Source organism: Homo sapiens, chromosome 4 (assembly GCF_000001405.40).
Source record: "Homo sapiens chromosome 4, GRCh38.p14 Primary Assembly".
Classification (NCBI taxonomy): domain Eukaryota; kingdom Metazoa; phylum Chordata; class Mammalia; order Primates; family Hominidae; genus Homo; species Homo sapiens.
In genome coordinates, this window is record NC_000004.12 from 19423071 (window position 1) to 19447636 (window position 24566).

Sequence of the window (24566 nt, forward strand, 5' to 3'; positions counted from 1 at the left end):
AGTTAGAGATGGATACTTAAACTAGTGGTAGAAGTTTGGTCAAGATTATGATACTCACATCATTTCAATGTACTTTTCCACAAATCCCTTTTCTCTCACACATGGTAATAATAGTAATTTAAAATGAAAAAACCTGACAAACATTACTTTATTAAAGACATCAAAGTTAACATCATAAATGGGCAAGCCTATACCATGTATCTTTTTATATGTTGCACTAAGAAGGATGCAGTACAAACATCTGATATTCATAATCTGTCAATATGCATAATCGGAATCTCATCATTAGGAAATAACAAACTCAAACTAAGGAACATTCTACAAAAAAACTTGTTTGTACTCTTCAAAATTGTTACTTTCATATAAGACAAGAAAGTCAAAAGACTATTCTAAAGAAAGTGATCAAACAGATATGAAAAACCTGAAATACATCATTCTAGATTGGTTCCTTGGCTGTGAAAAAACATGTCTATAAAGGACATTATTAGGATAATTAGTAAAATTTTACTATAAAGTATGGATTAAAAATGTGCTATATCAAAATTAAACGTCTTCATTTTGATATTTGTTTCATAGTTATATGAGTATGACCTTATTCTTAGAAAAAGCACACTTTACTATTTTGGGGGCGAAATGGCAATCATGTATACAGTTCATTCTGAAACAGTTCCAATCTATGTACATTGGGCTAACTGTGAATTTTAAAAGTTTACTTTGGACTCAACTCCACAAATGTTGCCTTCATTCATTTGAATCACATTAGCCACCTTCACATTGTATCTTACCTCTTTGTGGACAATTTTCTGATCACTCAATGCCCCTAGCACATATTCTAAGAAAATTTTTTTCATTATAAAGTGATTGATATGCCACAGAGGTAAATCAAAAACTGTATGTATTGAAGCCAAACATATGGCAACCACCTGAAAAATTGGTCAAGAAAATAATCACTAGTTTGACTACTGCTATAATAACTTTAAATCTATTAGTATTACCTTCTGGCCTTTAAAAATAACGAAGGTTGGAGAAACTCTACAGTAAATATTTTGATGGTTTCTCATACAACTTTATAACCCTCTTCTGTTTATAACTTCAAAGAAACTGTTTTTGGACTTTGTGATGTTTTCAATATTTTATCAGTTGTAAATGAAATTCAGCTTTTCTATGGAAATTGCTAAGAAGCTAGACTACAGATCTTTCAAAGTGGTATTTATTAAGTACTTTAAGTATTATGCAATGCTAAAGGTTTGATTTAAAAGTATAATATAAAAAGTGAGAGTTAAAAGGTAAATTCATTGGGGATCAGAATTTTCGTTGTTAAATTGTTGTGGAAAATGCATAATAAGGTAAAAAAATAAATGTCTGTTCAATATCATGTTGATTTGCTTATTAAGATGTATGCTATAAGACATGGTATAAACTTACTTAACAAATACGTTAATTAATCACCACCTATATAATAAGCAAGGAGTTACAATGCTGATACTCTTGGATAATCATAATTCCATATTCAAACAGCTCATAAAACAACACACAGTTAAATAGGGAAGAAAAGAGTATGCTGAGCAGAGGGTTCAGTGAGAGCACACTACTAGGCTGGGCACGGTGGCTCATGCCTGTAATCCCAGCACTTTGGGAAGCCGAGGCGGGCAGATCACGTGGTCAGGAGTTCGAGGTCAGCCTGGCCAATATGGTGAAACCCCATCTCTACTACAAATACAAAAATTGGCCGGGTGTAGTGTTGCGCACCTGTAGTCCCAGCTACTTGGGAAGCTGAGGCAGAAGAATTGCTTGAACCCAGAGGCAGAGGTTGCAGTGAACGGAGATGCGCCACTGCACTCTAGCCTGGGTGACAGAGCAAGACTGTATCTCAAAAAAAAAAGAAAGAAAAAAAGAAAGCCCCAAGTATGGCAGGTTAGGGAAATGGAACTAACTGACCTGCACTGGGGCTTTCTAAGTAGTTCATCCTGGCTGAACACAAGATTGTACTGCGAGCCCTGAAGGAAGATGAAATAGTTTATCTTGTCCTTAAAGTTAGCCCAATTATCTATCATAAAATTCCAAACTTTAAGAAAATTAGGCAAATTGGAAAATATGTACAGAGCACCATTCCTTTATTTTCATAGAAGTGTTACTACATTAGGAGAAAGAAAATAAACCACATTTCTGTTCATCACATAAATCATGCAATTTTTCATACCTTTTAAGTTTGGCAAAAATATAACATGTGGTTTTCTAAGTGCTTTTCTTTCTTAATTTTTAAACCCAGACATTTTTTCACAGAAATTAAATCCTTATGCTCCTCATTCTTTTCCACTTAACACATCAAAAAATGTCTCTGCATAAGATATTTGACATTCAGCATACATTTTATTCTTTATTCTTCTTAAACATATGAAGTTATATTTTGCCAATGGTAAACAATACAAAATATTGAACTTCAGGTTAAATTGATAAAGTAGTATATGCTTGTGTGCCTGCATGTGGATGCTACTTGAGGGAAAACAGATGTCTACTCTGTTCTAAAAGCTATATTGACATGATAACAAGTGAATTGAAGAGGAGAAAAAAGAAATAATATACCTACATTCTGCATAAACAAAAATAGCCATCCTTGTAAAGAAGTCAAGATAATAATTAGTTCACAGGACACAAAAATAATAGATTGATTCCATAATTCTGTTTTCTCCAGTATTTCAGTTGCATTCATTGGTATTAAATATTTTATAAATTAAGCTTTCAGGAAAAATAACATCTAATATTATGAGAAACAATGCCATTTTAATACATATTACCTATTTTTTAATTTTGAAATCATCTGGAGAAGAACAATTATTTCCATTATACAGATGAAATGTTTAAGGCATTGAAAGATTAAGTGACTTCCTGAGTTGCACATCTGTAATCAATTAAGACAGGACTCATATCCAGATCTCCTGGTTTCTAAAGTATAAGATTTTTCCCCTTATACTTTCTCATTCTCTTTGGCTTGTGAAACTCTATTATCTTCTAATTAATTTAAAGGAATAAATTGTTTTGATCTGGGTCAATATGAATCTAACCTTCATCCACTTATGTTAGAAACATATAAAGGATCACCTATTGGTAAAATATTATGCCTTCTTACATAATTTTAATTAGTTTATGATAGCATCAAACAGGGTTCAATTTACAAAATAATATTTGAAGTCCTGGCATTCATATTTAAAGATTATTTTACTTTTCCAAAGATTGATGTCTGAAAGTTCAAGAAATCCACTATTACATTATTAACAACACATTTAAGGTCATAAATACTAAGTAGACATTACAGATAAAGAACTAAAGGAGTTCATTTGGTAAACTCTTTTTCTCTAAAAGTTTCCATACAAAGTATACAAAAGGTGTTTTCTCCATAAAATTATTATTAAAATGTAGTTAAATACTAGACATAGAGGTCCTCCTGCTATAAGAACTTAGGTCTTAAAAGCTACATTTGCCTTTTCTGAAGTAACTTAAAGATATGTATATTCATTAATTAGGAAATATGAAGCAAACTGTTCCTTGTGAAACTTAGTATTCATTTGAATAAATATGTAGACAATTGTTGTGCCAATTTGTTCAAAGAACATGAATGCTTTCCAAAGATGACATGTTAGTCTTATTTTATGTTGGAAAATCAGAGAGTGATATTAAGGCTCAGCTGACCAGATATTTCACTAGTGATAACAAAGACATATAATTGATGCTCAGGATGTAGTAAGAGTATATGACAGAGCTTAAAACTGAAAGAACACTGGGCTTGGAGTACTAAAATAGGGTAAACAAATAGATGAATAGAAAGGATGAAGTAGACAGTATTTGGTGCATCAATTTGACCCAGAAGTTGGCTCCTGCTGCTGGATTGGAACATTTTTTCTTTTTTTTATGAATAATATATTGGACAAAATTTACAAAGAGGCAGCTTTCAGTTCAAGTTTGAAAGACTGTTTAAGGAAATAGAGCTAGCCCAAAATACAAAATAGGTCATTAAAGGACATATGTTCCCCCTCTCAGATAAGCTGAATTTTTTATTACCCTCATATCCCCATCATAGCACCAATTGCAACGGATATTAATGTTTGTTAGTTCTAAATCTTCTTAAGAAGTCTGCACTCTTCCAAAAGAATGACCTGTTTTATTCATGTCTGTATCATGGTATAATTAAAGTCTCATGGAAGGCCATGAACATAAAAATTTTTTATTTTATTAATAATTAGTCAAGTTAATTATTAATTAGTATAATTAACCAAAAATTATAACAATTTAATAAATTATAGTCATTCCTACTTCCTTCTGCCTTTCACACATTGTGAGATTAATTTCAGTAGTATCTGAGAGGCAGGTGAATTTTTTCTCTGTGAATGGGATGCTAGGTTAGATGGACAAGACGTACTCTGGAATGACAGAATAAAGACTTTTGAAATCCAAGTTTTAAAAAAGCAATAAGAAAACTTGCAAAGATATCAAAATTACCATTTTCAGAAATCCAAAAATTAAGAAGAAGCTTGAAATAAACTAAAGAACATTTATTCAAGGAAAAATGGTAAGTCTCAGTTACAACAGCAAGATTTGCATCATTTTAACTTGCCCAAATCCACCCTGCTTTCCCCAGGTCTGCAGTAGCCCAGAAAACCAAAGACCATGCAAATGGAGTACCGATAGAAACCAATGGCCTAACAGATGTCAAAGGAAGAAGAAAGGGAATGGCGCTCCCCAAAAACCTCAGCCTGAGAGAACTGTCACAATTTGACCTCTTGGGAAGCTCTCTGAAAGGCTCTAGCTTCAGGACTTGTTTTTATCTGAATCAGAGCTCACTCTGTCTGAATATCATTACTCTTATGGCATCCGTTGAAAATTGTCCATGGGAATTTTTAACATCACAGCTGCTTAAGGCAGCAATACCAGTTTGGGTTAACAGGAGGCAGATGTAAAAACCTGAAAGGAGAAACTGAGGAATGTAGTGTCCAAATGGGACTTTCAAAAACTCTCAGGTATTTTTGGGAATATAAAAGCAAGTATATGGTTGTGGGAACACACAGGAAATATCTAAAGAGAGCTAATATCTTACTTATGGTTGATCTTGAAGCTCTGTACCACCAAGAAGTGAAGGCTAAGGCAGAGTTATAAATTTCCTGCTGGAGCTTTGAAAACATGCCATATGACACACACAAGACCTACTGGCAAACTCTGGCAGACATTAATTCAAGATAGTCAGGTAAATCTCTTTTCAATTTTTAGCCAATCAAGCAGAGATTTTATTGACTGTCTACCAAAGTATATGTATAGTGACAAGGACTACAGACTTTACAGAATTGGTCCAGGAAAGTCACTAATCAAATGACAATCTCAAAAACTACATACAATAAATCCAGGGGGCTCCTTTTCAGAGTTGTTATGTTACATTATTTAAAATGTCAATTAGATGAAGCAGGGTATTTCCCTGACCCTTTCACAGGACTTGTGACAGGTGTGCCTCATTTACTCAGCCCACTGCTCTCAACTTCTTGTGGGAGGGAGTGTGTGAGTAAATGAAGTGGGAACTGGAGTGCATGAGTGGTAGAACCACCCAGCGGCTTCAGTTCAGGCTGCAGCAAATTCCACTCAGCCCCACTGTGTTCCACCCCTTGTGGGAGGGAGTGTGTAGGTGAGTGAGTGCAGGAGATGGGGCAAGCCCTTTTGGGTGCCAGGAGGACCAAACTCCATGCGGGCCCTGCGGCAGCATCTGGGGGCAGGGCCTGTAAACCCTGAAGTCCCAGAGGGCATGTTACAGTGCTCTTTTAGCTCTGCCATCTGCTGACAGCTTAAGTGTTAATAGCTCAGTAAGCCCTATGCCTTTTCATATGTGGTGGCTACCCTCCACCAGTGAGGGCAAAGGGCCAGTGTGACAGCATTTTGTATCCACATCCATGGCTCCTGAGCTGTTGTCTGACATCCAGGAAAAATGAGGTTGCCCGAATGGATTGAAGAATGGTAAATGTGGGGGATTTCATTGATGAAGAAAATGGCTCTCAGTGGGAAAGGGAGCTGAAAAGGGGATGGAGCAGGTAGGTAATCTTCCCCTGAAATCCAGACATCTCCAGTCGGATTCTTCTTTGAAGTTATACCATCAAGCTGTCCCTATGACATGAAGCCACTTCTCTCCAACATCCAGCCCTAGTCCCTGAAGTCCAGCTGCCCTCTCATCTCTGCCAGCTGAGTCTGAGGTCTTTATATGGCACAGGATGGGGGGGTGGGGCAGGCCATGGGTAATTTAGGAAAAGACAAAATTCAGGTGGAAAAAACAGGAATAAAAGTTTTCATTTTGCACCATGGTTTCAGGCTTTTTGACTTGAGGGTGAGGTTTTCTCAGGGACTTGCTCTTTTCTGCCTAGAATTTCTCTGCCCCCTGTCCCTATCAAAAGATGCAAAGAAAGAAGAAAGTATGGCCCAGTCACAGGAGGAAATGCTATCAATAGAACTTTCCCTGATGGAGTCCAAATATTGAGTTCAACAGACAAAAACTTTAAATCAGCTACACTAAACATGTTAAAAATTAAAGAAAACCATATTGTGCGAGTTCAGGCAGGCTGGTGGGAAAAATTTTAAAGACAGTTATAAGAAAAAGATACAAACCTCTTGGAAGGCCCTGGGGTTGGGGGTTGCATAACTTCAGTAATAGATCTGGCTGAAGGTAGCCTAATCCTCTTACCTTAAGTAAACAGCTTAAAGTAGTACAAAGGAATGTAAGGGAGTTTATCTAAATAACTTGCTTACTCATGTGGTCCTAAAACTAACCTTTGATCTTTCAGGGGCAGGATGGCTCTCTCGGAGGGAGGGCAACCAGGTTAATTACCCTCTAGTTGTGTTGACTCAAAGCCTTTGTCCTTTAATGTGTGCTGAATAAATGCCGGCAGGGCAGGGCCAGCTAATCAGGGCCTCAGCTGCTACAATTCTTTCAGTCAGCGACCTGGTCCCCAGCCTGCTCTTTCACTGAATATTGATGTCTGAGTACGTTATTCATCTGTCATGCAGCTGGGGTCTGCAGGATACACCCTTGCACCGTATTTTAAAATGCAAAGGGAAAATGAGAGTGATTTCTCACTGAATAGAGAACATCATTGAGGAGATAGAACTTATCTTCAAAAAGAATAAGTTACAAATTCTGAAGCCAATATACAACTAAACAATAAAAATATACTCTTTGGCCTTAACAGCAGGTTTGAATTGGCTGAAGAAAGAATTAGTGACCTTGAAGATAGTTTAATTCAGATTAGCTGGTGTGAGGAATAGAAAGAAAAAAGAATAAAGAAAAATGAACAGGGTTTCATGAGACCTGAGAGACTCAATCATGAATACCAATATATGCACAGTGGAATTCCCAAAAAAAGAGAATATAGAAAAACAGAAACAAAGTATATTTGAAGAAACAATGGCTGAAAACTTTGTAATTTATTGTAAACATTAACCTGCACTCCAGAAACCCAGTAAATGAAAATCAAATAAACTGAAAACATGCACACATAAATGTATCATAGTTAAATTGTCAAAAGACAAAGACTCCTGAAAGCAACAAAAGAAGAGAAATCTATCAAATAGAAATGTCCTCAATAATAAAAAACAGCTGAGTTTTCCTTAGAAACCATTGAAGCCAAGAGGCAACCGAATGACATACTAATAGTATTGAATGAAAAAACACTATCAAGCAAGAATTCTATATCCAGCAAAATCCTTTTTAAAAAATAAAGAAAGGATTTCTAGCTATTGGTTCACTATGTCAGAAGCTTGGAAATAACCCCTCCATCTTAACAAGTAAAAATCTGAACAGACTGTAAACTCAGACATTATTCTTAGATCTGTCTGAGAAGTGAGGTCACAGGGCAAACTGCTGCCTCAAAACTAGACAGATAGGCAAATACAGAGAATCAACAACCTATTAGCATAGAAATCCATGAGTACAAACCTCTGTGGGAACCACTGCTGAAGTCTCACCGTGGGACAGGCTCAAGAGATAGAAACTGGAGGGGACTAAGTCATCAGGAGACCCCCTCCCAAACTTTTCTGAGTTTTACCTCCTAGAACTCTTCTAGGGTCTCACAGTGAATTTCAGAGAAAATGCTCCTTTTGTGTTTTAGACAAGAGGAGAAAAAGAAAGGAACCATTTTGACATAAGCCAAAGAATTCTGTTCTTCTTACAAAACATGCCCTCAGTAGAAACTACTTAACCAGAAACCAGAGCTTAACCTGCTGGAGTTTTATCGGAGCCTAATGTCCTGTGGGAAGGATAATATCCCATTTCAATCATCTCTAGACTTCCACATGGAGAAATGGAAATTCTCCATGTGGAAATCCAACTCCAACCCATTTTAGCCATCCTATCTCACCTATGGTGGTGAAGGGACGGAGAAACGTGTTTAAAGTTCACATCCAGAGGAACAGGCAGACTTAAAGACTAAGACTTTATCATGGGACTTTAGATTGCTTGTCCTCTTCTCAGAAATTATCATCACATTACTAAAGGCCTATTTATGACAGTACCTTTTAATCAGTACATCATGTCTAGCCATGAAGACAAAAAATGCAGGCATACCAAAATGCAAAAGTCACAAGTTATAAGAGATAGAACAAAAATCAAAACCAGACTCAGATAGGGCAGGGATGTTGGAACCATCAAACTGTGAATTTAAAACAATTGTGATCACTTCTCAAAGGGCTCTACAGGGTAAACTAGACAGTATGCAAAAAGAGATGGACAATGTACACAGAGAAATAAAAATTCTATGAAAGAAGCAATAAATTCTGAAGATCAAGAACATTAAAAGAAATAAATGCCTTTTATAGTTGACTGTACACATGTGAGGAAAGAGTCTCTGACATTGGGTATAACTCAATTGAAACTGCCAAAACCGAAGAGCAAAGAGAAAAAATAGACTGATAGAACAGAGAAGAACAAAACTGTGGAACAACTACCAAAAGTGAAATGTACTTATAATGAAATACCAGAAGGAGAGGAAAGAGAGCGAGGAACAGAAGCAATATTTAAAACATTAATAACTGAGAATTTCCACCAATTAATATCAGACAGCTAACTACAGATCCAGGAAGCTCAGAGAACACAAAGCAAGATAAGTGTAGAAATAAATAAATAAACATAAGAACACCTAAGCTAATCATATTCAAACTACATAAGGTCAATTTTTTTTAATGCTAAAAAAAGCAAGAAAGTGGACAGTGAGAAATGTCTTGCATATAGAAGAGAAAAGATAAAAAATACATCTCACATGTCTTAGAAATCATGCAATGAAGAAGAGAATGGAGTAAAATATTAAAAATGTTGAGAGACAAAATCCACTATCCTAGAATTCTCTACCCTGCAAAATTGTCCTTCAACAGTAAAGAACATATAAAGACTAAGACAAAAAACGCTACAGGAATTTGGTCCCAGTAGACATGACTTGCAAGAAAGTAAAAAGAAGTTCATTAGAACAAATATGATATAGGTCAGAAACTTGGGTCTACAGAAAGAAGGGTATTGGAGAAGAAATGAGTGGATGTAACATGCAAATTTTAATTTTCTATTCTTAATTACTCTAACATAACAATTTGTTAAAAAATAATAATAGCGACATGCATCTCCCAGGTACAGGATGTCTAAGTATGACCTGTAGTTTCACTGTTGACTTCCTGATTTTAATAAATGAACTGTTTTTATGAAAGAGAGTGTCTTGGTTCATTTAGGCTGCTATAGCAAAATATCATGGACTGCATGTCTTATAAGCAACATACATTTTGTTTCCCAAAGTTTTGAAACCTGAGAAGTTCAAGATGAAGTCACTAGTAGGTTTGGTGTCTGATGAAGGTCCACTTTATGATTCATAGATGATGCCTTCTTTTTTTTTTTTTTTTTTTTGAGACAGAGTCTACCTCTGTCACCTAGGCTGGAGTGCAGTGGCACAATCTTGGCTCCCTGCGACTGCTGCCTCCCAGGTTCAAGTGATTCTCCTACCTCAGCCTCCTGAATAGCTGGGATAACAGGTGCCCAACACCATGCCCAGCTAATTTTTGTATTTTTAGTAGCGACAAGATTTCACTGTGTTGGCCATGCTGGTCTCAAACTCCTGACCTCATGATCCACCAGCTTGGCCTCCCAAAGTGCTAGGATTATAAGCGTGAGCCAGTGTGCCTGGCGAGATGATGACTTCTTACTGTGTTCTCATATGGCAGAAGGATCAAATGAGCTCCCTACAGTTACTCTCATAAGAACACTAGTCCCATTTATGAAGCCTCCACCCTCATGACCTAATTCCCTCTTGAAAACCTCAATTCCAAATAACATGATATTGGGTATTAGGTTAAACATGTAAGAGTAAAGGGGTACAAATTTTCCAATTTACTTTCGGTTGTTTAGCGCACACACACACACACACACACACACACGCACTTTACAATATGCATTTTTAAACTATCAAAATCTACTGTCAAATCATATTATACCCCTTCATATATAATGTAAACCTTAACAGTATACATTGACTTCCCTGTTTTAACCTTTATACTCATGTTTTTATACATTTTACTTTTGCTTATCTTTTAAACTGCTCAATTCATCAACATGATCTTTGCTTTACACAATCAATTTTAATGGTATTAAAATTCAAAAGAAAATATTTAATATGTACCAGCACATTTAATATCTTGGTGATCTTTTATTTGTGAAGATCTGAGTTTCCATTATGCAGCATTTTCTCTCAGCCTGAATAATTTTCTTTCACATTTCCTGTAGAGGTCAGCTAGTGATAGTATCCCTTGATGTTTCTTTTCTGAAAAGGTTTCATATTCACTTATGAATTACATTTTTCTTGGATATAAAAATATAGGTTGATATGCATTCTTTTAAGTTCATTAAATAAGCCTCTGGTTTCTATTTATTCCAGTGATAACCATAATTTTTATAGATATTGTCCTATGTAATGCCTCTCATAACTGGCTACTTTTAAGATTTTTTTCTTTATCACTGGTTTTCAGCAATTTGATTACACTATGCCCTAATGTAGTGTTATTGTGTTTATCCTGCTTGAAATTTACTGAGCTTCTTGGATCTCTGAGTTTTCGGTTTTCAGTTTTCTTCAAATTTGGAAATACATTCAGCTTTTATTTTATTTTATATTTTATATTTCATTTTATTTTATTTTATTTTATTTTATTTTATTTTATTTTAGATGGAGTCTTGCTCTGTCTCCAGGCTGGAGTGCAGTGGCACGATGTTGGCTCACTGCAACCTCCGCCTCCCAGTTTCAAGTGATTCTCCTGCCTCAGCCTCCCAAGTAGCTGGGACTACAGGCACGCACCACCATGCCCAGCTAATTTTTTGTATTTTAGTAGAGACAGCATTTCATCATATTGGTCAGGCTGTTCTCAAACTCTTGACCTCAGATGATCCACCTGCCTTGGCCTCTCAAAGTGCTGGGATTATACATGTGAGCCAATGCGCCTGGCCCTGCCCTTATTTTTTAAACAATTATTTCATGCTTCCCTCACCCCTCATTTTACCCTGGAACTTGAGTTTCATGTACATTGAACTGATCAATGTTTTTCCACAGTCACTAGATTCCATTCACTATCCTCCATTTTTTTCTCTCTCATTCTCTCTCTGTCTAAAAAATTTCTAATTATTTCTCTGCATGTTTACTAATCTTCTCAGTAGTGTTTTATTTGGTTTTAATCCCATTTATGAGTTATTCAAAAAAATTAGGTATTTTATTTTCAGCTCTAGAAGTTATATTTACTATATTTTATATCTCTGAATTCTCATTTTGCTATATATTTTCCATTGAATCATTAAGTATATTTATAACTGTGTAAAGCACTTTGCTTTATATTTTCATTTACTTTGTCATTTCTAGTTCTCTTTCTACAGTTGATTCTTCTCCTACTTATGATTCACACATTCTTGATTCTTTTCTGTTATAGTGCTTGTTGATTGAATGCTGGGGAATGTGCTTTTTTTGTTTTTGAATACGAGTTTTATGCTGTTCCTTTAAAGCATATTGAAAGTTGTTTTTGATACTTAGGATACTTTCAAATCAGCTTGCTTTTTAGAAAGTTTGATTCTTTAAACTCTGTTAAGATGCTTCTAACATAGATTTTACTCTAGTGCTACTTAGACTTACCACTAGGAGCGATGTTCTGGGATCTTTACTGAATTCCCTGAGTGCTCCCTGACTTCTCTCTTTTATGGTTAGTTAGAATTCAAATGAATTCCAGCCTGGTATATTCTACAAATCTTTCAGCTAATAATTCTGATATCAAATCTCATCTTGAATTGTAACTCCCACAATTCCCATGTGTCATAGGAGGAAACTTATCGGAGGGAGGTGATTTAATTGTGGGGGCAGGTCTTTCCTGTGCTTGCGATAGTGAATGAGTCTCACAAGATCTGATGATTTCAAAGCGGGAGTTTCCCTGAACAAGCCCTCTCTGCCTGCTGCCATACATGTTAAGATGTAGCTTGCTCCTCCTTGCCTTCCACCATGATTGTGAGGCCTCCCTGGCCATGTGGAATTCTAAGTCCATTAAACCTCTTTCTTTTGTAAATTTCCCAGTCTCAGGTATGTCATTATCAGCAGTGTGAGAGCAGACTAATACAAATTCCTTGGTAGGTGTTTGGTTTTGTTTGGTTTTGCTTTGCCCAGGCTTGTGGAGTTTCTCTATGAATGTGCAATTTAGTATTAAGCCAGAGACTCAAAAGCCATGTAAGATTTCTACAACTTTTTGTCTGAATAGCATCTTCATCTCCAGTACTTAGTCCAACAAATTCCAATGATATTGGCTGCACTGAACACTCTTTCCTCAGCTCAGTGAAACTTCTTTTCACTACGTGTATGTTTTCTCCTTCCATTAACAGAAGTATCAAAAGTGCCTTCAGAAAAAAAAGAAAACTAAATTTATTTATTTCCCTCTGTTATTGAATAGGTTTTAATATAACTTGTTCAGTTTTCTTGTGCTTTACAATGAGAGAGGAGTATCTAGTTCTGCTTACTTCAACATAATAGCAAATAGAAGCTACTATGTTGACTAATATAAAACAAAATAATATGTACCAGTTTAGTGTATCTGGCACTCTGAGCATGGATACTGATATGGTTAGGTTTCATGTCTCCAATCAAATCTCATCTTGAATTGAAATCCCCAGGTACTGAGGGAGAGACCTGGTGGGACATGATTGGATCATGGGGGTGGTTTCCTGTGTGCTGTTCTCTTGACAGTGAGTGAGATCTCATGAAAGCTGATGATTTTATAAGGCAGTTTTCCCTGCTTTCTCTTGCACACACTCTCTCTCCTGCTGACTTGTGAAGAATATGCCTGCTTGACTTCTCCCTTTATTGTAAGTTTCCCAAGGCCTCCCCAGCCATGCAGAACTGTCAGTCAATTAAACCTTTTTCTTTTACAAATTACCCAGTCTTGGGTATTTATTTATAGCAGTGTGAGAATGAACTAATACAGTAAATTGATACTGCGGAGAGTGAGGTACTTCTATAACGATACCTAAAAATGTGGAAGCAACTTTAGAACTGGGTAACAAGCAGAGGTTGGAAGAGTTTGGAGGGCTCAGAAAAAGACAGGATGATGTGGAAAAGTTTAGAATTTCCTGGAGACTTGTTGAATGGTTTTGACCAAAATGCTGATAATGATATGGCCAATGATGCCCAGACTGAGATAGTCTCAGATGGAGATGAGGAACTTGGTGGCCACTGGAATAAAGGTGATTCTTACTATGCTTTGGCAAAGACTGGTGGCATTTTGCTCCTGTTCTAGTGATCTCTGGAACTTTGAATGTGAGAGAAATGATTTGAAATTGGAACTTATGTTTAAAAAGGAAGCAGAAGATAAAAGTTTAAAAAAATTGCAGCCTGGTGTTGTGATAGAAGAGCAAAACCAATTTTCTGGTGAGAAATTCAAGCCAGCTTCAGAAATTTGCAGAAGAAACCAGGAGCCAAATGTTAATGACCAAGACAATGGGGAAAATGTCTCTAGGTCATGTCAGAGACCTTTGTGGCAGCCCCTCTCATCACAGGCCAGGAGGCCTAGGAGGAAAAAATGGTTTCCTAGCTCGGGTCCATGACCCCCTGCTGTGTGCAGCCTTGGGATTTGGTGCCCTGCATCCCAGTGACTCCAGCAATAACTAAAAGGGGCCAAGGTATAGCTTGGGCTTTTGCTTCACAGGATGCAAGCCCCAAGGCTTGGCAGCTTCCACATGGTGTTGGGCCAGAGGGTGTGCTGAAGATAAGAACTGAAGTTTGGGAACCTCCACCTAGATGTCAGAGGACGTATGGAAATGCCTGGATGTCCAGGCCAAGGTGTGCTTCAGGGGTGGAGTCCTCATGGAGACCCTCTGCTAGGGCAATGTGGAAGGAAAATGTGGGTTTGGAGCCCCCACACAGAGTCCCCACTGGGGCACTGCCTAATGGAGCTGTGAGAAGAGGGCCACCATCCTCTAGACCCCAGAATGGTAGATCCCCTGATAGCTTGCACAGTGTGCCTGGAACAGCTGCAGATACTCAATGTCAGACGTGAATGCAGCTAGGGCTGGGGGCTGTACCCTGCAAAGCCTGTGAAGGAGCTGCCCAAGGCCATGGGAGCCCACCTCTTGCATCAGCGTGCCCTGGATGTGAGATATGGAGTCAAAAAATATTATTTTGGAGCTTTAAAGATTTAATGACAGCCCCACTGGATTTTGGACATGCTTGGGACCTGTAGCCCCCTTGTTTTGGCCAATTGTTCCCATTTGAAATGAGAACATTTATCCAATGCATGTACACCTATTGTATCTTGGAAGTAACTAACTTGCTCTTGATTTTACAGGCTCCTATGCAGGAGGAATTTTCTTTGTCTTAGGTAAAACTTTGGACTTGAACATAATGCTGAAATGAGGTACAACTTTGAGGGACTGTTGGGAAAGCATGATTGCTTTTGAAATGTGAGGACATGAGATTTGGGAGGGGGCAAGGACGGTATGATATGGTTAGGCTTTGTGTCTCCACTCAAATCTCATTTTGAATTGTAATCCCCAGGTGTTGAAGGAGAGACCTGGTGGGAGGTTATTGGATCATGAGGGTGGTTTCTCACAAGATCTGATGGTTTTAGAAGGCAGTTTTCTCTGCTCTCTCTTGCACATGCTGTCTCTCCTGCCACCTTGTGAAGAAGTCGCCTGCTTCCCCTTCCACCTTGATCATAAGTTTCCTGAAGCCTCCTCAGCCATGCAGAAGTGTGAGTAAGTTAAACCTCTTTCCTTTATAAATGACCCAGTCCAGGGAATTTCTTTATAGCAGTGTAAGAATGGACTAATACAAATACTAAGGGATTTCATATGTAAACAATGACTCTAAACATTTTCTGTAGGATGACTCAACCTTTTTTGCCTACTATTTGGCCTCTGTTTAATACTTTAAGCTCAATATACTCTGATGTGTTTGAAATAAGCTCCTTTTAAAGCATCTTCAAATTTTGGTTAATGCCACATTATTTGTGGACACAGAACATGTTTTCAAAATAGAAGTTGGTTTATATTGTTTATAAGATAACTTTTAAAATAAAAAGCATTTTGATTCTAACATAAAATAAAGTGTAGTATTCCTGGCTAGGAATAAGTTACAGAGTTTTGAAGACTGTCTGTTTTCTGGATTTCCATGGGGAATGTGCAGATTATATTAATGTTCTTGATGTTTCCCAGCTTCACGTATGTCATGACTAGCTATGAAATTCTTGGATCTATAACAATGTAACACATTTTCTTTCCCATGTTTAAATTGATTTAGAGAAGTGAGCATGTATTGAGCATTTGAGTTAAAGCATGGCAGGGAGGCTAGGTTGCTAAACTTCCAAGTTTTCAAATGCAATCTCAATCACTGTACTTCTTCTTTTTCTTCTAGCTCATTGTTCCATTTCCTGATGTGTTGAAAGTTTATGGCAGGGCACGGTGGCTCACGCCTGTAATCCCAGCACTTTGGGAGGCCAGAGTGGGCAGATCACGAGGTCAGGAGATCGAGACCATCCTGGCTAACACGGTGAAACCCCGTCTCTACTAAGAATACAAAAAAAAAAAAAAAATGAGCCAGGCATGGTGGTGGGCACCTATAGTCCCAGCTACTCCGGAGGCTGAGGCAGGAGAATGGCATGAGCCTGGGAGGCGGAGCTTGCAGTGAGCCAAGATAGTGCCACTGCACTCCAGCCTGGACCACAGAGCAACACTCCGTCTCAAAAAGAAAAAATAAATAAAAGTGTATGATCTCTGCAAGTTTCAAGCTGTTATCAAAACAATCTCTTTCCTTTTATTGCACATGAATTGTGTTGTTATATATATACCATATTTTAGGCTTTATCAAATTATCTGAAACTATATGTCCCTGAAGTTCTTGAGCTCATGTGCCTAGATGTGTTCTGCATTCTTTCATAGTGTAATGCAAAGATCAGATTACATTTCCACTTTTTAAAAATTTTACCAATGTCCATGTTAACTGGACAAAAGACTAACTGTATAACGTTAACTATATAAGAATCCTAATTACCCAAATAGCCTCTCCAAATACTAAAAATTAATGGTATATTTGTTAGGAGATATTGTAGTTGGCTAAATACTGCTCCCTGTTCACTTAATGACCACTTTAGCTTCAGAGTGTGACCTTATGTTGAAATTGGGTCGTGACAGATGTATTTAGTTAAGGATTTGGGGATAAAAATCATACTTAATTTAGATTGGGCTCTAAATCCAATGACCACTTTCCGTATAGGAGGAGAAAGAAGACAGAGTTATTCAGAAAAATCTATTTAGGTGGAGCAGAAACTGGCATTATTTTCCCCAGATCCTTTAGAAGCAGCATGGCCCTGCTGATACCTTGAATTTTAATTTCTAGCCTTTATAACCGTAATATAATAATTTCTGTCATTTTAATCCACCGAGTTGTGCTAATTTGTTATGGAAGCTGTACGAAACTAACGTGGTGTGTTTTTTAGAAATCTTGAATAATATGCCTTGTATTAATCTATGCATCTCTAAGAATCACTTACTTTTGATGAAAAAATATAAAATGAATATAAATATCCCAAAGATAGAATTGACAAACGCATTACATCGTCCATTTAAACCACATATTTTGATGCTGGTTCTGGTAAGTATCTAATATCTGGCTGATTCTGTAGCTCAAGTAGCTACAGTAAACTATAAAAATGTTAAGATTGCTAGCCAGTTAGCTTTAACTCTGTTCTTTCCTAACATGATTTATGATCAGAACTCCAAGTCCAGACAATTTCCCATGAAATCTGTATGTGTGTGCATTTTACGTGTGTGAGAGAGGCTGTTCTGTTTTTCCCAGCGTTCCAAGAATAAAGAGCTCTGTAGTTGACCCAATCAACCTTGGAAATTACTGTATCAAATACTGTGGTTAAGTTCATCTTTATATGATACTAATTGAAGAATAAGCTAGACTTTGGGACCATCTCATTATCTGCAGTGAAGTGACTACCATCGAGTAGGATTATGTTACTTAAATTAGGAACTCCACAAGCAAATAATAGGTCTTTACTCCACAAAAGGTTTCTGTGGTGGAAAATATATGATTAAAAAATGTTAAACATATTTATTTAAGAAATCTTCACAGGCCATAATATACTAGTATGTATTATGAATCTTCAGGAAGAAAAATATGCAGTATTTTTCAAGCTTATTTGTTCTTTTAACAGTTTTTATTAAATATCTATAGCAATTCCAAGTGCAAGTGCTCTGGAGAGCATCATGTGGATATAGCACTTCAATGCATGGTGGCATCATGGGCTTTTAGAGTAAGAATGACATAATAGTTACTCTTATACAATATTGTCTTACGTTTTCATAGTCCTTGCATAACTGTTTTTTTTTTTTGTTTGTTTGTTTTTTAGAATGAGTCTCACTCTGCTGCCCAGGCTGGAGTGCAGTGGCACAATCTCAGCTCAGCTCACTGCAACCTCCACCTCCCAGAATCGAGTAATTATACTGCCTCAGCCTCCCAAGGAGCTGGGATTACAGGCCTCTGCCACCACACCTGGCTAATTTTTTTTTTTTTGTATTTTTGGTAGAGACAGGGTTTCGCCATGTTTGCCAGGCTGGTTTTGAACTCCTGATCTCAAGAGATCCACCCACCTCAGCCTCCCAAAGTGTCAGGATTACAAGCATGAGCCACCACACCCAGCCAACTCTTATTCTTATATTGTACATTGTTACAGGTACTAATGTAGGCATTGTACTTTCATTAAGTCACTTAATATTTTCAATACTCTTATAGCATAGGTATTATTATTATACCTAATTAACATACTTAAGTCACATGTCCACTGTAACATAAGGGCATTACATTACAGCAGGAATTTAAAATGCAGGGCATCTGGTTACAGTCTGCAGATTTAACATACAATAAGAACTCATGGGCAAATATTGAAGCTTGATGAAGGCAAGAATAAACTAAGTAAATCAGTGTTCCTTAACTAGATTTGATCATGGATTCACTTGAAAATAGAAAGAAAGCCACAGAAGATATCTTCATAACAGTGTATACGCATATATCTAAAAACGTGTATATATGACTTTTGGGGCATTGCAAATCTCCTAAATTATCCAATGGACAACAGGGTGATAATCACTAATTTAACTACCTTTATGTGAAGTATGACTAAATTAATAGGTGCCAGATCTAGAAAAACTATTAAAGTAGATTAGTGTGTAGTGGAATCATAAGAAATTTTTGAGGTTGAGGTATGGAAAAAACAAACTATTCCATATCATTCATTGGACTGGAATCTTATCCATACTGATATTGTTGTTTGCTGGCCCACTTTAATAATTCTTAGCTCTTTTTCTGTTTATTTTCTCAAAAATATTTTGGATAGCTAATTACCCTTATTTTGAATCAAAATTGTTGGTAATCTGGTGGGACAGGACAGCCCTCTAGTTCATTTGTTTACTCTAATCTAATTAAATGTATATGGCTTATATCTGGTTTTATTTCCATTTGACTTGGGTTATTAATTTCATCTTACAGGAAAGATGTAAGTTGAAATTATGAAGTACTTTGCAAATTAAAACAGTAAAATAAAATTAAATTAAAATTAATAGGCTTTTATTTTATTATCAAATCAAGAGACATTAAAATGAGTTTTTAATTTAAATGAATATATTAGTAGACTAGAACCTGACTATGCCCCCCAAAAACACAAATATTTTCAGAATAATGACTGAACGGTGGATTACTTGAATGCAGCCATGCATAATGAAAAAGACATGAAAAGTAAAAGAAAATATGCCTGGGTTTATAATCACTTACATTCAACAAATATCCATTGAGTATATTTTGGATAGTGTAACTTGTGCTACTTACCTAAATCTTATGTAAGGGCAGAGATTACATCTTGTTCCCCATAGTATCCTTCAAGTACCCCTGTTCTAACTGTCTACCACTTATAAAGGGACTTCAAAATGGCTGATGAGAGCCACAAAGAAGAACCAAAATACCAAGTAAATACTTACAGTTCGGGTAGATCATCTAAGAGAGAATATTGGTATTCAACAGAGAAGTGACAGGAAATGTCTAAGTCAAGGAAGGAGAGGGAAGTGAGGCAGCCTGCTCGGCCAGGATTGGCTGGGAGCCTGGAAAGGGTCCCCAATGTGGGGCAGGGGTAAGTGAGTGACTCACAGCTATCCACATTCCCACCACAGACTCCTACAATCCTAGCCACCAGAGAGTCCCTTGACCCATGTGGGCTCTGAGACTAACATAGGGAACTGCATGGTCATGGTGTGACTGCATTGTTCCAGAAAGAAGTTCATGCTGGGTCCCACCCTTATCTTGAGATCTAAGCAGCTACAGCTAGGTGCCATTTTGAGAGCCCAACCCCTATCAGACTGTCCTAGGGCCCAACCACTACTACATCTCCCCATCTCTGGGGATTCATTGATTTCCTCTGCTCACAGCAAGGCATTGCTCTGGCTGTTGCCACCATGGCCAAAGTACAAGACATTGGTAGTAAACCCACTGCCTCCAGGGCCAAAGCACATTTAAAAGTGCTCTGAGAAAAGGCTACCCCACTTATAGCCACCACATCGGGCCAAAGTACATGCTCTCCAGTCACCTATACATAACTGCTGCCACTAAGATCAACTTTGCCCTTCCTGGAAGCAGGACCACAGTGTAGACACTGATACCACCATCCTCACATTGTGTTTTAGTCCTGGGCGTCATCTTTACTTACCTACCACAGTAAGTTCCTACACACACTGTTGTGTAGGAAAGGCCCACCCACCCAGGCTTCAAACACCCAAACCTGCCCCCTGGAGGATACCATCTAGGGGCCTGGAGATATCCTCACCACATTCACCATCATTAACACCTGAACATTCCTCCCTGGGGCCTGAGATCAGGCCTGCAGAGCCTGCCACTACCATAATAGCTGTCAGTCACATGCATGCACCAACTAGGGGCCTGAGTACTGGGCAGCTACCATCAACAACAACATGGATTGCTCGGGAGCCAGAGGATTGTCCCACCACTGCTATTGTCATTGCCAATCCACACCTACTGCTTTAGGGGCTTAGGGATCCAGATCACCACTGCCACTGCCAGCACCTGAGCAAGCCACATGGAAGTCCAAGAATAAGCCTGCCTGGACTCACTAACACCAGTGCCAGCATTTGTTGTCCTAGGGCCTAACTACAGGCATATTTGGTCTATTGCTGCCACCATTGCAACCCAAGGACTGGCCTGCCTGATGTCCCTGTGCCCAGCAAAACTTCACTAATACAGCCTCCACTAACAACTGTACCCTAAGCCATTGAGGAAATCACAGACATAACTGATGCTATTTCCAGCCAAATAAATCATACAGGACTACCCTACTGCACATACTAAGAAACAAAGCCAAAGTACCATGCACAACAAACACCATGGACACGTCTTTAGGAAAAAGTCCCCCAGTATAAAAGCAAATTCAAGAAATTGATAGAGTCAACTATTACATCAGGTGTACAGATATAAGGACAATGTAAGGACACAATAAACATTAGAAAGCAAGGAAATATGATACTTTTAAAGGAACACAATACTTCTCTAACAAAATATGCCAATAAAAAAGTTTATGAAATTCCAGAAAAATAGTTCAAAATAATGACATTAAAAAATGTCATTGAATTTCCAGAGGACTCAGAAAAGCTATACTAACAGTTCAGAAAAAATAATTCAGGATATGAATAATAAACTTACCAAAAAGTTAGACATTATCAAAAAGAATCAAGCAAATCATGAAATTGAAGAATTCAGTGAGGGAAATAAAAAATACATTCAAAAACTTTAACGATGGACTCGATGATGCAGAAAAAAGAATTTTAGAACTTGATAAGTTTTTTTTAAGATTATCTAGTCAGACAAAAGTTAAAAAGACTAAGAAGAAATGGAGCCTACATGACATATCGGACACCACAAAGTGATCCAATGTTGATGCATTGGTGTTCCAGAAGGCAAAGAGAAAATGAAAGGAACAGAAAACCTATTTAACAAAATAATGGCTGAAAAACACCCAAGTCTAGCAAGAGATTTAGACATTTAGATATGGAAGCTTCAAGGTCCCCAAACAAGCACAAACAAAAAGGTTTTCTCCATGGTGCATTACAGTCAAGCTGTCAAAAGTCAAAACAAAAAAGAACTCTAAAACAGTAAGAGATAAATGTCTAGTCACTTATAAGGGAACTTATATCAGACTTACAGTAGATTTTTCAGTGGAAACCTTACAGGCCAGGAAATCAGATGACATACTAAAAGTGCTGGAAGAAAAACAAAAAAACCTCCTAACCAAGAATGTTATATCCAGAAAAGCTAACTTTCATACATGAAGGAGAAATAAAGTACTTCTCATACAAATGTTAGCTGAGAGAATTCACCACCACTAGACCAGCTCAACAAGAAATGCTTACATTAGTCCTATAAGCAGAAATAAAAGGAGGATAACTACCATTATGAAAACACTTAAAAGTACAAAACACACTGGTAGACCAAAGACACCAATAAGGAAAAGAAAGGATTCAAATGTTACTAATACAGAAAATCACCATGTCACAATGATAAACAATAAGGGAAAGAAATAAACAAAACAACCGTAAATAAATGAATAAAATGACACAAATAAGCCCTCACATATCAACAATAACCTTGAATGTAACTAAATTAGACTTTCCACATAAATAATATAGACTGGCTGAATGGATTTAAAAATAACCCAACTATATGCTGCTATAAGAAACTCATCTCACCTGTAAATACACATATACATTAAAAATTAAAGGATAGCAAAAGATATTCCATAAAAAGAGAAACTAAAAATCCACAGGAGCAGCTATACTTCTAATAGATATAACAGACTTTACTTCTAAAACACTAAAAAGAGACAAAGAAAGTCATTCCATAATAACAGGTATCATTCCAATAAGGGTATATAACAATTCTCAATTTTATATATATATATATATATATATATATACACCCAACACCAGAGTGCCTATATACATAATGCAAATATTAGATTTAAAAAGAGTGGGTTGAGGCCAGGTGTGGTGGCTCACACCTGTAATTCCAGCACTTTGGGAGGCCGAGGTGGATGGAACACGAGGTCAGGAGGTTGAGACCATCCTGGCCAACATGGTGAAACCCCGTCTCTACTAAAAATACAAAAATTATCTGGGTGTGGTGGCACACGCCTGTAATCCCAGCTACTCAGGAGGCTGAGGCAGGAGAATCGCTTGAACCCGGGAGGTGGAGGTTGCAGTGAGCCGAGATCACGCCACTGTACTCCAGCCTGGTGACAGAGGGAGACTCTGTCTGAAACAAACAAACAAACAAAAAAAAAAAAAAAAGAGTGGGTTGAGTGTCGGGGCTCACACCTGTAATCCTAGCACTTTGGGAGGCTGAAGCAGGTAAATCCCTTTAGCCTAGGAGTTCAAGACCAGCCTGGGCAACATGGTGAAACCCTGTCTCTACAAAATACATAAAAATTAGCTGGGCATGGTGGTGCAGACCTGCAGTTCCAGCTACTCAGTAGGCTGCAGCAGGAGGACAAAGCAAGTACCAGCCTGGTACTGACAGAGTGAAACACTCTGTCAAACAAACAAACAAACAAACAAAAATTTAAAGGGAGAGATAGACTCCAATGACTCCAATGTCATGATAGTTTGGGACTTCAAAACCCCACTGCCAGAATTAGACAGGTCATCTAGACAGAAAATTAACAAATAAACATTGGATTTAACCAAACTTTAGACCAAATGAACATAAAGGACATTTACAGAATATTCCCTCCAATCTCCAGGACTGATCATTTATTAGGTGAAAAACAAGTTTCAACAAAGCTTTAAAAATTGATATCATGTTAATTATATTCACAGACCAGAAGATAATAAAACCAGAATCAATAACAGGAGAAACTTTGGAAGCACAATTACATAGAAATTAAACAGCATGCTCCGGAATGACCATTGGGTCAAGAAATAAATTCAGAAGAAAATTAAAAAAAAAAATCCATGAAATAAATGAAAATTAAAACTCATACCAAGTTAGGATGCAGCAAAATCAGTACTAAGAAGAAACTTTATAGTAATAAACACCTACATCAAAAAAGTAAAAAGATTTGAAATAAACAATATAATGATGCATACTAATAATGAGTAATGAGATTGAATTTGTAATAATAATGAAAAAACCTCCCAACAACGAAAAGTTCAGGACCCAATGCCTTTACCACTGAATTCTGCTACACTTACAAGGAAGAACTAATGCTGATACTCTTCAAACTATTCCAAAACACAGAAGAGGAGGGAATACTCCCAAACTCATATTATGAGGCAATAATTACTACAAGACTATATTAAACTAAAAAGTTTCTGCATAGCAATGGAAACAACAGATTGAACAGACAATCTGATGAATGAGAGACAATATTTGCAAACAATTCATTAAGCAGGGGACTAATATCTGGAATATACAAGGAACTCAACAGGAAAAAATCAAATACTCTCATCAAAAAGGGGACACAGGGCATGAATAAACATTTCTCCAAAGGAGACATACAAATGGTCAACAGGTATATGAGAAAAATGCTCGACATCACTAATGATCAGTGAAATGCAAGTAAAAATCACAATGAGACATCATCTTATCCTAGTTAGAATAATTATTATTAAGAAGACAAAAAACAACAGATGTTGGTGAGGATGTAGAGAAAAAGGAACTATTATACATTTTTGGAGGGAATGTAAATTAGTATAGCACCATGGAAAACATAATGGTGATTTCTCAAAAAGTCATAGATAGAACTACCATACTATCCAGCAATCCCACTACTGGGTATGTATCCAAAGGCAGAGAAATTAATGTATCAAAGGCATACTTGCACTGCCATATTTATTGTAACATTATTCACAATAGCAAAGGCATGGAATCAATCCGAGTGCCCATCAACAGATGAATGAATAAAGAAAACTTGGCATATATACACAATAGAAT

General features: G+C 37.2%; 1 long non-coding RNA gene across 1 annotated transcript in view, besides 1 other annotated feature; it reads right to left on the bottom strand.

Annotated features, from left to right (window-relative positions):
- The window catches only part of LINC02438 (long intergenic non-protein coding RNA 2438), a 238399-nt gene that overhangs the window by 204479 nt on the left and 9354 nt on the right, over positions 1-24566 (bottom strand). The window lies entirely within an intron of this gene.
- Positions 6377-7253: an enhancer, noted in NCBI's record as "OCT4-NANOG hESC enhancer chr4:19431070-19431946 (GRCh37/hg19 assembly coordinates)". NCBI's record gives its function as "activates a minimal SCP1, AML or CMV promoter by ChIP-STARR-seq in naive and primed H9 embryonic stem cells {active_cell/tissue: H9 hESC(naive and primed)}" and the evidence as "EXISTENCE:reporter gene assay evidence [ECO:0000049][PMID:30033119]".